At 43.1% G+C, this 16,108-nt stretch overlaps 1 protein-coding gene and 1 long non-coding RNA gene across 2 annotated transcripts in view, besides 1 other annotated feature; both read left to right on the top strand.

The window, feature by feature from the left end:
- The first annotated feature begins 1,383 nt into the window (after nucleotides 1-1,383).
- The window catches only part of TAS2R1 (taste 2 receptor member 1), a 276,530-nt gene continuing 261,805 nt past the window's right edge, over nucleotides 1,384-16,108 (top strand). Inside the window, exons 1-2 of the mRNA NM_001386348.1 lie at nucleotides 1,384-1,735; nucleotides 2,507-2,608. The gene's annotated coding sequence lies outside the window, so the exon portion shown is untranslated. The remainder of the gene's footprint in view (nucleotides 1,736-2,506; nucleotides 2,609-16,108) is intronic.
- LINC02112 (long intergenic non-protein coding RNA 2112) overlaps nucleotides 1,436-16,108 on the top strand; it is a 262,510-nt gene continuing 247,837 nt past the window's right edge. Inside the window, exons 1-2 of the long non-coding RNA NR_027112.2 lie at nucleotides 1,436-1,735; nucleotides 2,507-2,608. This is a non-coding gene — a long non-coding RNA (long intergenic non-protein coding RNA 2112). The remainder of the gene's footprint in view (nucleotides 1,736-2,506; nucleotides 2,609-16,108) is intronic.
- Nucleotides 9,561-10,062: an enhancer, noted in NCBI's record as "NANOG hESC enhancer chr5:9895310-9895811 (GRCh37/hg19 assembly coordinates)". NCBI's record gives its function as "activates a minimal SCP1, AML or CMV promoter by ChIP-STARR-seq in naive H9 embryonic stem cells {active_cell/tissue: H9 hESC(naive)}" and the evidence as "EXISTENCE:reporter gene assay evidence [ECO:0000049][PMID:30033119]".

Here is a 16,108-nt window from a genome sequence, read left to right as displayed (position 1 = left end):
TTACATATGACATGCTTAGGTGCAGGAATTTTTTGGTATTTTTCCTGTCTGGTGTTCCCTGAGCTTACAAGATTTGTGGTTTGATGTCTAACATTAATTTGGGGGAAATTCTAAGCCATTATTGTTTCAAATACTTTTTTCTTTTGTGTTCTCTATTTCTTCTCCTTTTGTTATTACCATTACATGTACACCTTTCATAGTTGTTCCACAGTTCTTGGATATTATGTTCTGTTTCTTTTGCTGTCTTTTTTCTCTTTGCTTTTCAGTTTTTGAAGTTTCTGTTTTAATGTAGTCAAGCTCAGTGATTTTTCTCCTCAGCTGTATTCGGTCTACTAATGAGCCATCAAAGGCATTTTTCCTTTCTGTTACAGTGTTTTTGTTCTCTAGTGTTCTTTTTTATTCTTTCTTGGAATTTCTAGATATCTGCTTACATTATTTATCTGTTCTTACATGCTATCTACTTTTGCTATTAGGGCTTTAAGCATGTTAATTATAGTCTTTTTAAATTCATGGTCTAATAGTTTCAACATCCCTGCCATATCTGGGTCTGTTTTCAATGCTTACTCTGTCTCTTCAGACTGTATTTTTTGCCGTTTAGTGTGCCTTGTCATGTTTGGTGAAATGTGGATGTGATGTACTGGGCAAAAGGAAGTCTTGTAAATAGGCCTTTAGTGTGTGGTGGGTGGTAAGATGTAGGACAGTGTTTCATAGTCCTATGGGTAGGTCTCAAGCCTTAGATGAGACAGGATGGATGTCGGGGGCTGGATTTGGGTGTCCTTTCTCCTATATGTAAGGCTAGAGCTAGCTTGATTGGGGGTATTTTCCTTCCATCAGGTCAATTAGGCTCTGATACATCCCCAGAAGATCAGGCTTTGGTAAAATACTTTATCTTGCAGTCAGAGCTTGTTAAAAAGAGCAACAGGGATATTTTCTGGGGGAAAGTGGTGGCTAGGAGGCAGGACTAACTTGCAGTTACCACTCAGATGGACAGAGCAGGATGTGGAGACCCACATAATGAACTTTTGCTCCAGGAACTACTGCAAGAATGTACCAGAAAAGCCAAAAGAATCCACAGACCCTTTGAAGGAGGTGGATTGCCATTGCAGGTTCTGTGGGACAGCTGAGGAACTGTGAGTCTGCTTGCTTTATCAGCTGGGAGGCTTGTAGCCTGGGGCAGGTTCTCAGGCCTGCTCACTTGCTGCCTGGAAGTAAACTCAGTGCTGTTTGTGGAGCATGGTGAGAGTGAGACTGGTCTCTCTAGCTCTGGGCTGCACAGGAACTGAGTGAGGCCTGTGGTTCCTGGCTTTCCTCCACTTCCCTGGCAACTTGTGTGACACAACAGAGGCAGCCATAATCCCCTTGGGAACACAACTCTGTTGGCCTAGGAACCATACTCCCATCTGTCATGGCAGCTGCAGCAAGCCTCACCCAAGGAGAGTCTGGCTGGAGGCCAAACAACACAAAACCAGCACACTTAACAAAAATATAACCAATGACCCTTGCAGAGTCCACTTAACTCCCCTCCACCAGAGCAGGTGCTGGTATCCACAGCTGAGAGACCTGAAGATGGATCACATCACAGGACTCCTTGCAGACATTCTCCAGTACCAGCCCAGAGCCTGGTAGGTCTGTTGGGTGGCTAGACCAGTATTCTAAGTGAAGTAACTCGGAAATGGAAAACCAAACATCATCTGTTCTCACTCATCAGTAGGAGCTAAGCTATGAGAACACAAAGGTATAAAAATGATACAATGGACTTTGGGGACTTGGGGGAAAGGGTGGGTGAGGGTTGGGATAAAAGACTACACATTGGGTACAGTGTACACTGCTTAGGTGATGGCTGCACCAGAATCTCAGAAATCACCACGGAAAACTTATCCATGTAACCAAGCACCACCTGTTCCCCAAAAACCTATTGGAAAAAATAAAGGACAACATGGATGAAACTGGAGATTATTATGTTAAATGAAATAAGCTAGGCACAGAAAGACAAACATCACATGTTCTCACTTACTTGTAGGTTTTTTCACTTACTTATAGAGGTGGGGATGGTTAATGTGTACAAAAAAATGGATGAATAATACCTACTGTTTGATAGCAGAACAAGGTGGCTATAGTCAATAGTAACTCAACTGTACATTTTAAAATAACCTGAGTGTACTTGGATTGTTTGTAACTCAAAGGATAAATGCTTGAGGGGACGGATGACCCATTATTCATGATGTGCTTATTTCACATTGCATGCCTGTATCAAAACATCTCATGTACACCAGAAATATATACACTTACTACATACTCACACATTTTTTTTTAAAAAAGAATTATCTGATATATTTCAAAATGGTTACTTTTCCCTTCTACCTGCTGAAGACACGAGTGATTTTTTCTCCGATAGCCACCGTGAGAACCTGGTTAAGCTCCATGAGATTAAAATTTTCAAAGGTGGTGAGGGGTATGGGGAGGTGGGGACTGATCACTGTATTGATCTGTAGTTTTTAACTTTCAGACCTGTCCACGCTGAGTTTATAGCAACTGTCAATTACGGTTCAGATTTTCCTACCCCAGCGTGACTTTCCAAAGAGGCTTCTGCTCATGGATTTCTGCTCCAGTAAGTTGTGATTTTTAGTATCTGCCTGTCTCTCCAGTTTGTGGGGCAGAAGTTTGCCCTGTGACCTCACCTCTATGATGGATCTAAGAAGAATTTTTGATGTTTCCATTTGTTTAGCTTTTGACTTGTTGTTAAGGTGGAGTGGTGACTTCCAAGCTCCTTATATGCTGGACCAGAAATTGAAAGCCAAATTTTAGAAGAAATTATCTCATGGGTTGCTGGCCAGCCAAATGACAGCCATGGCTGGGTTAAATTTGGGGGTGTTATGTGCTCTACAGGGATTCTGCTTCCAGGATCTGGGGAGACAGCAGCCCTCTGGGAAGAACCAAAAGCACAGTAACATTCTAGAACATGTCCACAGTGTGGTAGTTGACCCACTCAGTTCATGTATGCCTCAATAGCATACTGTTAAATTATAAACTTATGAATAAGAAATTTGTAATAAAGATTTTATAACCTCACAGGTCTTTAGTAAGGCTAAATAGTAGAGCATGGTATTCAATGACACACTATGTTTAAGAGCTATACAGCTATAATAGGGGATAAAAGACTGGCTTACCCCAGGTGTCAACTGTAATATCTTGGCATGCTTTGCCCGTGATATCTGAGGGACAGACGTAACATCAAAGAGTAATGGAAGATTAACAGGAGTAGCATCTTGCAGTCCAGCGAGTCCACTACTCTGAGATCCTTTCAGTTCAGTCCTGCTAGGCTGGACGTGGGAGGATGATAAACAGGCTGGTGCTGAAGCAGCTATTCATGGTTAGTTAAAGCAAAAACACATGGGTGGAGTAAGTGAAGGACAATTTATTATATGGGGCATTTGCCGAAGCTATTTTTCTAGCATAGGTGTGCTTTCTTTTTCTCCGGAAAATAAATAGAACAATCTGACTTCCAGTCTTCTTGCCTGTCTCCGGCCTGGATCCACATCGCTTCATGCTTGCGCAGTTGAAATTATTTTCCCACAGAGTGCCTTACTTTCTGTCTTTTCCCCTTCCAATTCATTCTTCTTACTGCAGGAAGATTTATCCCCTAAAATACCCTGCTTATGATGTACACTTCCTTTTACAAAGCTTTCAAAGGCCCCTATTATACCCAGAGCAAAGTGTAAACTCAGTCAGTATTCTAGAGCTTCTACATTCAGACTACAATTCTTTCAATATTTTTTTCTTATTGTTTCCTGGCTTCTACTGTCCCCTCTGGCCACATTGTTTTCCAGAAGAATGAACGCCCCTGTGCATACCTAAACTTTTGGCCATGCCCTCTTTTCTAGGCTGATGGTTTTCTCTCAGCCCAAACAGGTTCTCTGGTAGCTTAGTCTCACCAGAGTCGCTTTCTGTAAGAAGTCTTATTTCATCTTTACTTTGTCCCCTACAATCTCTAGCAATTCCTTTTTTCTGCTGCTACATCATCTCTAGACTGTGACATTCATTTGTATTGAGCTGTTTGCCACCTTTCACAGCCATTTGTTCTGGTGTTTAAGTCAAGTTCAGGATCAAAGCTCCTGGAGAGATGCCTACCCTTCTCTGTGGTCTTCTCAGGGTCCAACCCAGGGCCCTAATGGGAGGCACTAGTACCTATTTACTGAGTGAGTGAAGGGTACAAAGCAAAGCAGCTGCGAATCTGAGCCAAGGTATTGTGTCCTCCGAGGACGACTAGTGCAAACAGAGACACGCTTCTCAGACAGGGTCTGTTCCTGATCAACTGCTCTGTTGCGGCTGAATGCAACCAGCATTATTCTTCCCCACGCAAATTAAATCCGTTTGAGCAGGAGGCCGAGGCGGGCGGATCACGAGGTCAGGAGATCGAGACCATCCTGCCTAACACGGTGAAACCCCGTCTCTACTAAAAATACAAAAAAAAATTAGCCGGGCATGGTGGCAGGTGCCTGTAGTCCCAGCTGCTCGGGAGGCTGAGGCAGGAGAATGGCATGAACCCGGGACGCGGAGCTTGCAGTGAGCCGAGATCACGCCACTGCACTCCAGCCTGGGCGACAGAGCCAGACTCCGTCTAAAAAAAAAAAAAAAAAAAAACCATTTGAGCAAGTGTATCTTAGACTATAGAGTGATATCCTATACATAATGAAACATATAACTCTGGCTTGTGTAAATCGACTGTACTCTGCCCCACTGGCGGGATGTTTCTGTGTTTAAGCTTTCTTGAATGCAGTGCTGCATTTGATACTGAAACAAAATGAAATCTTTTCTTGTATTTTCAAGCATGAACATTTAATCCATAAGAGAAGAAATTCAGTAAGTTAATGAATATAGGGTAAAATATTAAATCTTACTGGTGGCTGAAATCATGCAAATTTTAGTAGCTAACATCTGTGGAAAGGATAGTGTTTGTCAGAGGTGGTTCTAAGAACATGTCATGAATTAACTAATCAAATCATCACCATGATGCTGTTGAAATGGCCTCATTATCATTATAATCTCCATTTGATCAATGAGGATCTGATGGGTGGTAAGTTGTGAAGCTTGTGTATAAAACTAAGACATTTAGTTTCAGAGAGAGAACATATCTGTACCCAGTATACAATTCTGCCTCTCTGAATTCTGCCTACTTCTGTCTTGCATGACTGCCCTTATGAAACTAAACATTTCCTTACCATATGACCAAGCGAATGCACTTTTGGGCATTTATCTTAGAGAAATGGAGACTTATCTTCACTCCAAATATTGTATGATTCAGCTTTATTTGTAATAGAAAAAAACTGGGAACAACCAAATCGATTGATTCATTTGGGGACCGGACCACAGGCTGGGAACCACCTTCTAATGATGTAATCACCAACTGGACTCCATTGGGACATCTCAACTTTGTTGCTCAAATAGAGGTTCTGTAAGATTATAAGGCAATTATGTGTCTTTTCTAGACCATTAAGCAGGGAGAAAAAAAGCACTTTAAAGAGGGCACTGTTTTCATATCTATTTACATAGAGTCTAGTTTTTGTCTTCTTGTGAGAGGCTGCTTATTTGAAATTTTCACCTTTAGCTATTTTTTTTTTTTTTTTAGACAGAGTCTTGCTCTGTTGCCCAGGCTGGAGTGCAGTGGCGCGATCTGGGCTTACTGCAACCTCCACCTCCCGGGTTCAAGCAATTCTTCTGCCTCAGCCTCCCGAGTAGCTGGGATTACAGGCACCTGCCACCACACCCAGCTAATTTTTGTATTTTTAGTAGAGATGGGGTTTCACCATATTGGTTAGGCTGGTCTTGAACTCCTGACCTCAGGTGATCTGCCCACCTCAGCTTCCCAAAGTGCTGGGATTATAGGTATGAGCTACCACACTCGGCCACCTTTAGCTATTTTGCTGTCTTGTGTTCAAATTGAGAGGGAAAGAAGTTCCCCTTGGTATACTATTTCAGAAAACTTGGGCTGTATAAGAGAGAGTGGAATGGAGAAATGAAGACAGTAGTCACTCCTGTCCCTCTGAACTCCTCTGGTGGTCATACATCCTGAGTGCCGACTCCATCCTTAAGCTCATACTGTTGTCTGTCTATAATTTTCCTCTAAAATATTTTAGTATAGATGGTGTAAAATATTTATATGTGTGGGCTAGTTTCACTCTATGTCCTAAGGGTGGTTAGTTGGCATTTATAGTGTCCAAAAGAGAAATACACATTCCAATGGTAGGCACGGTTAGCATTTTAAAGATAGCCAACAAGAATTCGCAGTTCCATGTCCACTTCCCGTCTTCAACGACCTCCATCTGTAAATGTCTGCACTAGATAATTGTTAATTAGCATGAGGATTATTGCAGATAAGTTTTATTGAAAGAAATGGGTGGTGCGCATGATCGTTGGAATATTGTGGGTTGGTTAATCCCTGTCCAGGCCCCTCTGCCTGTCTGTGGACAGGGGTGCAGGAATCTGGAGGGCCCAGCTGCTACATGTTCTCCTTTAGAGTATTGCCCTTCATCTAGGGCTCTCTGTTGTTTTGCTTCCTGCCTCTTAATTGGGAATTCTGTGTCCTGATCATGCAAGGGACTTGAGGAGTTTCTAAGTGGCCAAGACCTGGGACCTTGCAGAGTTTCTAGGAACAGATTGTTTCATGACTGCTTGCCAAGAAACATTGATTTCTGTGGCAGAATTCTGTCTGTAACCTGCTTTCATGGTGATGTGCCATCTGGTGGTGGCAAAGCCATGTGCGAGAGGCCTCAGTGTTCTTTCTCATAACTAGAGGCCAGCAGGAATAGGCCTAGCTTAGGGAAGGTCTCAAAACCACGTACACACGGCTTCTACCTCGTCCCTCTCTCTTAAAGAATTTCCTCTGATCTTGGAGCCAGGAGATGAGGAGGCTTTGTGAGGATAAGATTAGATTATTGTGCCATAAAATTGGAAGTACTTTAAAATCTGGGCCCCTTTGTATTTGGGAATTCTGTACTTCCTACTCAGTAATTTACTGTCACATTTTCCCCACTGATAATAGGAGGAGACACACTTAAGGATGTATATTTTTCAAAGATGGTTATTTTGGAGCTTAAACAGTGTTAGATTATCGTGAACAATTATTAGGCAAGGAAAATTAGCCCACTTAATTAACCTAAGATATGTATTAATAGTTTAAAGCTTAGTCATTAGGAACACAAGGATGCGTTGGGAACAGTAACAGTCTTACTTAGAATTCCGAAGTGAGTCCCCGTGTCATTAGAAAATACATTGTTATGAAATTCGGAGGATTAATTAAAGTTAAAATTTGAGGGACTGTATTGAAGATGCGTCCTTGGCTCATGTTTCCTCTTTAAGTGTTGTGTTTATATATCAATCTAAAACAGAAAATGTGTTCTTTAATCTGCAGGCTCTTAGTAATTTTATCTTTCTCTTCAGATAAATTGTTTGGTTGCTTTCATCATCTTCCTAGTACATTTTGAACTGCTTAGTCTACCAAAGTAGAAGAATCATGCTTAATAAAACCAAATGACTTCTTCTTTCAAATGTTAATTCAGCAAAAAGAAAAAAGAAAGAACCCTCCCAAGAATGGGAATGTATGATCTCATAAAAGTTGTCTTTAGGCAAAGATATAATACATGCCTACTTTGTCATTTCAGGAAAGTTATTGAAGTCAAAAACAGCCAGTGCCTAAGTTCTGGGTATAGACGTGCGGTTAGCCTAAACTTACACACACAGTAGTGGATTGTTAACTTGAACACACCAGTTGCAAATCTAGGTGTTTTTGTTTGTTTTTTGTTTTTTTGTTTTTTGAGATGGAGTCTTGCTCTGTCACCCAGACTGGAGTGCAGCGGCGTGATCTCGGCTCACTGCAACCTCTGCCTCCTGGGTTCAAGTGATTCTCCTGCCTCAGACTCCCGAGTAGCTGGGATTACAGGCATGCGCCACCACGCCCAGCTAATTTTTGTATTTTTAGTAGAGACGGGGTTTCACCATATTGGCCAGGCTGGTCTGGAACTCCTGACCTTGTGATCTACCCACCTTGGCCTCCCAAAGTGCTGGGATTATAGGCATGAGCCACCGTGCCCAGCCATATCTAGCTGTTATTTTGTTTTGTTTTGTTTTAAGAAAACCTCATGTTACATCCCTTTAAATAATTAGCTGGAGGAAAAGTTAAGATCATCCTTAGTCTTCTGGGTAAGTAGCCATTTTTCCTGGTGCCCTAGAAATTACATAACACAGATGTTTTCATGGTAAAATGCTTGAGTGCAGAGGCTAAGAGACTTGCCTCTCTGAACCATCGACATTCATTCTCTTCTCCTGGATGACTTCTTGGGGATCGGAGCCAAATTGTTGTCTCCCTTCTTAGCCCCAAAGTTGTCATGCACACAGTAGATGCAGAAGCAGTGGGTGCATTTAGCAAGTCCTGCTGTGTTCATGGGATTGGATTTATTGCTTGGGGAGATACAAAATAATTAACTAGTGTGGCAAATGAGGTCCTTGCCTTGCAAGGACTTAGAATATAGGCATGAAGTGTTAAGACCTAAACAACATTGCCAAACAGGCATGGCAAAGTGGATAAAGTCTAGCGTGATTTCTTTAGCCCTTGTTTTTGGGGCACAAAGTAAAGCCATTAGGTGAGGAATACTTTCCATAGAAAGTGTTCTTCAAGTGGAAATGATCTTCAAGTGGCTGAACCCTGAGGGAGGTCTAGAATTTGGGTCGGCGGTTTGGGTCGGCGGTTAGAGAAGGGAGGACAAGTAACAGAGACAAGGCTCGCAGAGCTTCAGCCCGTCTGGAGAATAATGATGGATACGTTTTCTAAACTGACCTAAACCAATTAGGTTCTTTTTGGTATAAAATGTAGCCTCCAAAAAATGAAAGGTGGCTGAGGTTTAGCCATTCTCCTGTAACCTCAAATGCCAGTTTAAAGAAAGCCAGTCCCAAACCAAATTCTGCTACCCATATGGACATTTACTAAACAAATACTATTAGCAAAAGACACGAGAGATAATCCAACCAGTTCTGTAAGATTCGTGAAGTCCCAGTTCTCTGTGTTTTGTGGTCACCCTCTGATAGGCAGAAACCTCTCACCTTGGTGGCTAGACCCAAGTTGCCTGGGGAGGCGGGGAAGCTAACAGGTCTCTCAGGATCCATATACCTTGTATAAGGGTTGGGGTAACTCTAAAATATTTTCACCAATACCCATATCTTGGATAGCTTTAATTTCACACTAAGAAGCTAGTTATAACATTCATCATAGAAATTTTAGAGGCCACTATTTTCACCAGTAAAGACCCATCCCTAACCCTGGATGTGCTAATAATCACAGTACAGGTTGGAGGTTGAAATTCAGATGCGTTCATATCAGCTTTACAAAGCAATGGCTTCTTGACTGTAACTCCATCAGATTACAGCTGGACTCTCTGTTTCTTATTAGGGCAACTGATGCCTCTAGAATTATAATTTCAGTGGAAAGGCACACACAGAATATTGCACTGTCTGTGATAAAATATTTTTGAGAGCATTGTAGACAGTGTGATTTAAGATTGGTGGGCTGGGGCAGATCTGTTGATAGAGTGCCCAGAAGGGCAGACTGCATATATTGGATTTGTAACAGAACAGATCTCTGATGGTTATTGTCCGCTTCTAGAGTTTAGGCAGAAAAGGATAAGAAAAGAAAAAAGAAAGACCTCTCTGTTGACCATTGCACTGATTCAAAAGGAAGCCTCGCCTCTGCAGGCTTTTTGAGGCAGCGCTATTCCAGTAATCAGCAGACTGCCTGCTGCCCGGCTCAGCCACAGTGATTGCATATGGCTGTGGCTGCTACATCACTACAGGGGGTGGTATTGACTTTCAAAGGCAATGGCGGTCCCTTCATCTGTGCCATTTCCTCTGAAACAGAAGTTATTTTCTCTCACAACTGTGCATCATATTTGTAATAGCTTATTGATCAAAGCCAGGTCCACTTTCAAAGCAGGAAGAAACCAGGTGTCTCCTCCTCATGTGTTGGCTTTCCATCAGAAGGCACTGGTTTTGCAGTCCCAGCTCTTCTGCAGAAGCCATACTGCCTTAATCCCTTCCTTCTCCCCCATCACCCCCCTTCACACACACGCAGTGACATGTGCTTAGGCATGAGAAAGCCGAGGCCTTTGGTATAAGGTAGAGAGTGAGCTGAACTTGCTGCACTGGGCTACTCAGACAGTTCTTTGTCAGTTGCAGCTATACTTGTTCATCAGGAAGCCTCCCTACCACCACATGGTCTTCTCCAGTTATGTTAGATGTGTATGTGTACCACTTTCTGGCATTCATGTTTTAAATTTTAGAGAAATGCTAAACCTCATCCAGAAAGCCTGAAAACCTCATTCTCACTATGCTGGGTAGAAGTTGGTATAAGGCAACCTTTGCTTTGTATCTTGGCCAAAAATTTACCAACTGAACCACACAAAGAAACCTGCTGTGAAGTGGTTTCACCTGCAAAGGGGCCCCATGGCCTTGGGGCTGATGACCTCATTTTAGGAGTCTCCAATGTCTATAAATCTGTTTATAGCCTTCCTTAGCATCTCTAGGTGACCAGGATAGAACTAACTTACTGTATTAGTTTGCTAGCGCTGTCATAACAAATTACTACAGACTGGATGGCTTAAATAACAGCAATTTATTTTCATGTAGTTCTGGAAGCTGGAAGTCCAAGATCAAGGTGTCTGCAGGTTTGGTTTTTTCTGAGGCCTTCCTCCAGGGTTTGCAGATGGCTGGCCTCTCGCCATGTCCTCCCACGGTATTTCCTCTGTGTGTGTGTGTGTGTCTCCCTGCTGCCTCTGTTTGTGTGTCCAAATTTCCTCTTCTGTTTTTTTTTGTTTTTGTTTTTGAGACAGAGTCTCACGGCTGGAGTACAATGGCGTGATCTTGGCTCACTGCAACCTCCACTTCCCAGGTTCAAGCGATTCTCCTGCCTCAGCCTCCCGAGTAGCTGGGATTACAGGCACACACCACCACGGCTGGCTAATTTTTTGTATTTTTAGTAGAGACGGGGTTTCGTCATGTTGGCCAGGCTGGTCTCAAACTACTGACCTCAAGTGATCCACCCGCCTCGGCTTCCCAAAGTACAGGGATTACAGGCGTGAGCCACCACGTCTGGCCAATTTCCTCCTCTTAAAAGGACACAAATCAGATTGGATTGGGGCCCATGGGAAAGACCTCATTTTAACTTAATTACCTCTTTAAAGACCTCATGTCCAAACACAGTTACATTCTGAGGTACTGGGGGTTAGGACTTTAACAGATGAACTTTCGTAGGGTCAACATATATTCACTTTTTATCATATTTCCAAGTTCCCTAAAAGCCTAAAGGCCATGTTAGGTACTGTGTTTTGGCAGCAGTTCTCACACCCATCCAATCTTTGACCACCTGAGCAGTCTTTAAAGGTAGATTCATGGGACCTTCCTCCTTTTTCCTCCCACAGAGTCTTATTCAGTAGACAGATCACAAGAATCTATGTTGTTTCTGCAAAGTAGACCAGCCCCTCAGGATAGATGTACAAAAGTGAACAGGTATTTGCATAGAAGTCCTTCTCTCTGAGGGGAGAGGGGGGATAGGGAACTGAAGTAGAAGGAGATTACGTTGTTGTAATACACTTTTGCTGTTGGAATTTTTTTTATTACAAGTATGTATTACTTTTTCAGTAAAAAAGGCATTTACTAACTTAAAAAAAATTTTGAAGTGGACCGTTTGACCAGCCCAATTAGAAAACACAGTTGAATGAGTGCTGTCATCCCTTGGGCTCTAGGTACTTCTCATTTAAGACCAACAACCATCTGAGCGAAGAAGTCGGAGATAGGAGTCTGGGCTGGGCTTTGGAATGAGGCAGAACAGACTGAAAGACTCATGGACAGAAGCACAGGTGGCCCAGGTGATATACAAGATAATGGACAAAAGAAAACATGGACTAGAAAGCCCGGCCACGGGAGGTGGAGGTTGCACTGAGCCAAGATCACACCACTGCACTCCAGCCTGGGCATCTGAGACTCTGTCTCCAAAAAAAAAAAAAAAAAGCTGGGGCAACCAAGACATCACCCAGATATTTGTAGGGGAAGAAGGAAGAAGGCTGGACTTGCAAAGATTCCCTGAGCCCTTCTCTCTGGTTGCATGTAAGAATTATTGGGGGAACCTTAAAAATATTGCTGCCAGGACCCTATCCCAGAAAGCTGGAGTGACTTGGTTTTGGTAGCGGTGCAGTCATTGGTAGTTTATAAAGCTTCCAGGGGTTCTTTTGTGGGACATGTGGCTTTGTCTGGTGCATGATCAGTGGTCAGATCTGCCCTGCACTCTCCTGAGAGTGACCACAAGGGCAAATGAATGCAGGGATACTTGGTCTGTGAAAAGATAAGGGAATAGAAATGGGCTTGTGTCTCTTGAAGAAGGGCTGCTTTTTTGTTTTTTTGTTTGTTTTGAGTGTAATACTCTTGTACTTGACTCATAGCCTGCTTCTTCTATCAGCCCATTCATTCAGGGAGGGGAAGTTCCAATGGAAAGAATGGGCATAAGAGGCGCTTTTCCGCAGACAGTTCTAAATATGGGTCAGTGGAGGGGGGTCAAGTGCAGGGAATCAAGAAGACATGCCTAAATATCCAGCCTAGATAACTGGTTCTCAGTCTTGGCAGCATAGCGGCATCTCCAGAGAGCATGAAACACTCTTGAACCCTGGGTCCCATCCTGAGGTTGTTATGTAGTTGGTTCAGGGCTCAACCTGGACACCAGCTCAACTAGACACCTGAAGTTCCCTGGGAAATTCTAAGGTGAGGCAAAGTCTAATAATCACTGGCCTTAAAATGATGTAATTGGAAAGGAAGGAATGGGAAGAAAAACATGATAACCCCCAGGAACTTTTGGGGGCAAGAGTTCTACAAAGCTTGAGAAACTAGTAATAAAGTTGTTAGGCTATGGCATGGGAAGAAGAGTAGATCTGAAATTCATGTGGCATTTCAAAGACTGAGCCCAGCGTACTCAGATCAGAATGTCTTCTGCAGCCTACAAGGATGGCCCTTCTGCTTTGATATCTAGGCAAGAGGCTGGCTGCTCTACATTAGGAAGAGGATAAAAAGTAAAGAAATAAAACCCCCTAAATCTGCCCCTCCTGGGTCAAAGGGATTGTGGGGAGAGGAATAAAGGGAGAGGGTTGGGGTGTGTGTGTTGGGGCCCATATGGGTTCTGATGGGGAAGGGTGAAACTTTAAATATATAAGAAAAAGAGCAGAACCTAAGGTGGGCTATGAGGGAGGGGAGGGCTTGGGCCAGCCCATGGGGTCCTGGGGAAGCTAGAGGTGGTTAGGTAGGATGCACTGGGGTCAGCCTGCCAAGCTCTATCCCTTTTATTTGCAGAAGGGGTCAAGTATGATTGTGAGTTGTTGGGCAGGAGCTGGAGTGGTCATGAAGTGCTTTGGTGGCTTGGGGTACAGAAGTTCTTTAATATTCTAGCCACTGTCCAACTGCCCTGATGGGTACTGGGTGTAATACGAGTCCTGGTCTAATATCTGTTCTCTGGGCTTCCATCTGCAGAGAATGAGAGGCATGTTATATGGGCAGAGGAAACACTGTGGGCTGGGGGCTTTTGCTCAATTTACTTTTTGGATTCTGGGGTCATAGCAGCCACCTAGAAGTAGGTACACTTTGTGGGCAAGCAGGCTTAGCAGAGGGAGGGCCAATGCTGAGCCCTCCCCCAGCCACCTTTGGAACCCATACTCTGTGCATGGGATCCAAAGTACTCATGTGTCTCCTGGCCCCAAAGAGCTTTGCTTATGTGAGTTATGTTGGCAGATACTTACCATGTTAGGAATTAAATTTAAAAAGTATTTAATAATTCACTAAAGACAAAAATAGTACATCTATTACATGCTAAATGAACAATATCTTTTTATGAAAATTTTTTTTTCCCAAAATGAAAGAACATGAAATGAGAGATTGGCATTGTTTTACATTTTTGCATAGCTCTTTAACGTCCTGCTTAATAGAAGATGGCTGCCTGCTTACATCTGCTTCTGTATTCAGTCTGTTGTGATTTGCTGTTTTCCAGATGTGTGGCTGGAAAAGGGGCATGCATTTTAATGTTGGCTTTCTTTTTAGATAATTATGAATAGTCTTCTTTGATACTGTATCAAAACTCTGAGGTAGACTAGAGAGAGAATGAGATTTTAAAAGCCACATAATGACTTCATGTTATTAGGTTTGAATTTGTGGACCCTTAAAAAGGCCATGGGCACCTACCGAGGTCTCCAGACTATACTTTGAGGATGGTTGTGGTAGCAGAAGGAAGCCCCAGATGCTGTCCCCAAAAAACGATGTCCACATGGAAGACCAGGATTCCAAGCAAACCTCCAGTAATCCACTTTGATTATCATTTCATCTCACATTGTGCCTTGTTTTTGGAATCCGGTGTTAAAGTTGACACGTGGTTATAAGTAGGTCACAGTGGCCCTTAAAAACAGGGTCAAGAAATTTCACTAGTCAGTCATTTAAATATCGAATTGACAAAAGGAAACAAATAATGTAAAGTGAGGCCCACTAAAAATGATTAGTTTACATGGACACTTACATGTTTAAAATATCAGTCTTTGTAGAGCTTCAGTCTTGCTGATTTCAAATACTCTTTTATGTCCCTTTTAAGAGAACAAATCAGACTGTAAAATTATGTTTTTAAGGATACTGTGTAATAGTCTTTGTTACTTTAGGATGGCAACATGAGCCCTACAATGATATATATAATGGGGTTGGAAAGCTGGGGAGGAGAAAAGATAATAATGATTACAAAGTGAGAACAGATAGGGGACCTACAGAAGCTGCAAGACCCTGAGATGTGAGGCGGAGGAGGAAGGGCTAGGCAGGAGTAGTAGGTTCTAGGGGGAATATCAGGGTTAAGTGTTAGAGCAGGAAAGTGTGAGGTCATGGGTGGACATATTGACGAAGTATTTGAATTGAGGCTTATAGAATGTCAGAAGTTTTATGCTCTTAACCATCACGTAGGCGGCCTTTTTGAGAGAACACAAAGGTTCTGGTTTCTTTTTACCTTGCCTTTTCTAGCTTCTCTGCAGGTGTCTCCAACTCAACTTGTTCATGAAAACTGTGGGATTTCTTCTGAAGGCTGGATCCCGAGTCCCTTTTTCTTTTTACCCTATATTTTATCCTTAGGGGATCCCACTCACACCCACAGCTTCATTACTCCTTAAACCCAGTTGTCTTGTAGATTTATATCTTTAGCCCCGACCGCTCTCTAACTTCCGTGTGAATCAGCCCACCCGACATTTTACTTGGTATCTCAATATACCTTACACTCTGCTGCCAGAAAGCCACTCACGCTCCCCACCAAGCCTGGTCTTTCTCCCAGCTTGCATATCATCACAAATGTCATGGCTATTCTGGTTTCAGGTCTGAGACCACGGAGTCCTTGTTGGCTCTCTTGCTTCGTCAGCCTGGGTTGGATCCCCACCCCAGCTCTGATGACTTGGTATCCACTTCTTTCAGACTCTGCCCCTTCTGACCCAGTCCTGTGAGGCTCCATGACCTCTCACATGAGGGGCCTTTGGCAGCCTCCTGATGTCTGGTTACATCACTGTTGCCCCAGCACAATCTGCTCCACACAATAAAGTCAGAAGCACTATCTGAAAATGCAAACATGCAAATCTGGTTACCCCCCGCCACCAATAAAAAACAGTGAGCAAAAAACCCCCGCTGTAATGCTTTAATTCAACTGTAAACTCAACAGCTTAACTCAAAATGGAAACAGTATTTTCCCAGTGGATCACAGCAGCCCAAAAGGTATTTTTAGCCATAGCTGGGCTGCCTGGAGTCTACCCTGTGCATGTGTGGTCCTACGTCAGCCAGATACATGAGCAGGATCCATCCACAGAATTTGGGACTCTCCTTCTCCCTACCAGACATCCTGCTTTCCTTTCAGTTACTAGGGCTGCCGTACCTGTCCCTCCATCATCAGTACAGTAAGACTGCACATTTTCATCTGCTCCAGCATGGTGCAGATGGGGGCACTCAGAGTAAAGGAAGACAACCAGAAATGTACCCTGAGCATTCCCCTGCAAGCTCCGACCCCCTTTCAGTAGCT

The sequence above is a fragment of the Homo sapiens genome, chromosome 5, assembly GCF_000001405.40.
Source record: "Homo sapiens chromosome 5, GRCh38.p14 Primary Assembly".
NCBI lineage: Eukaryota > Metazoa > Chordata > Mammalia > Primates > Hominidae > Homo > Homo sapiens.
The sequence above is the reverse complement of the archived record's forward strand: the minus strand, read 5'-3'. Positions and strand labels throughout refer to the sequence as shown.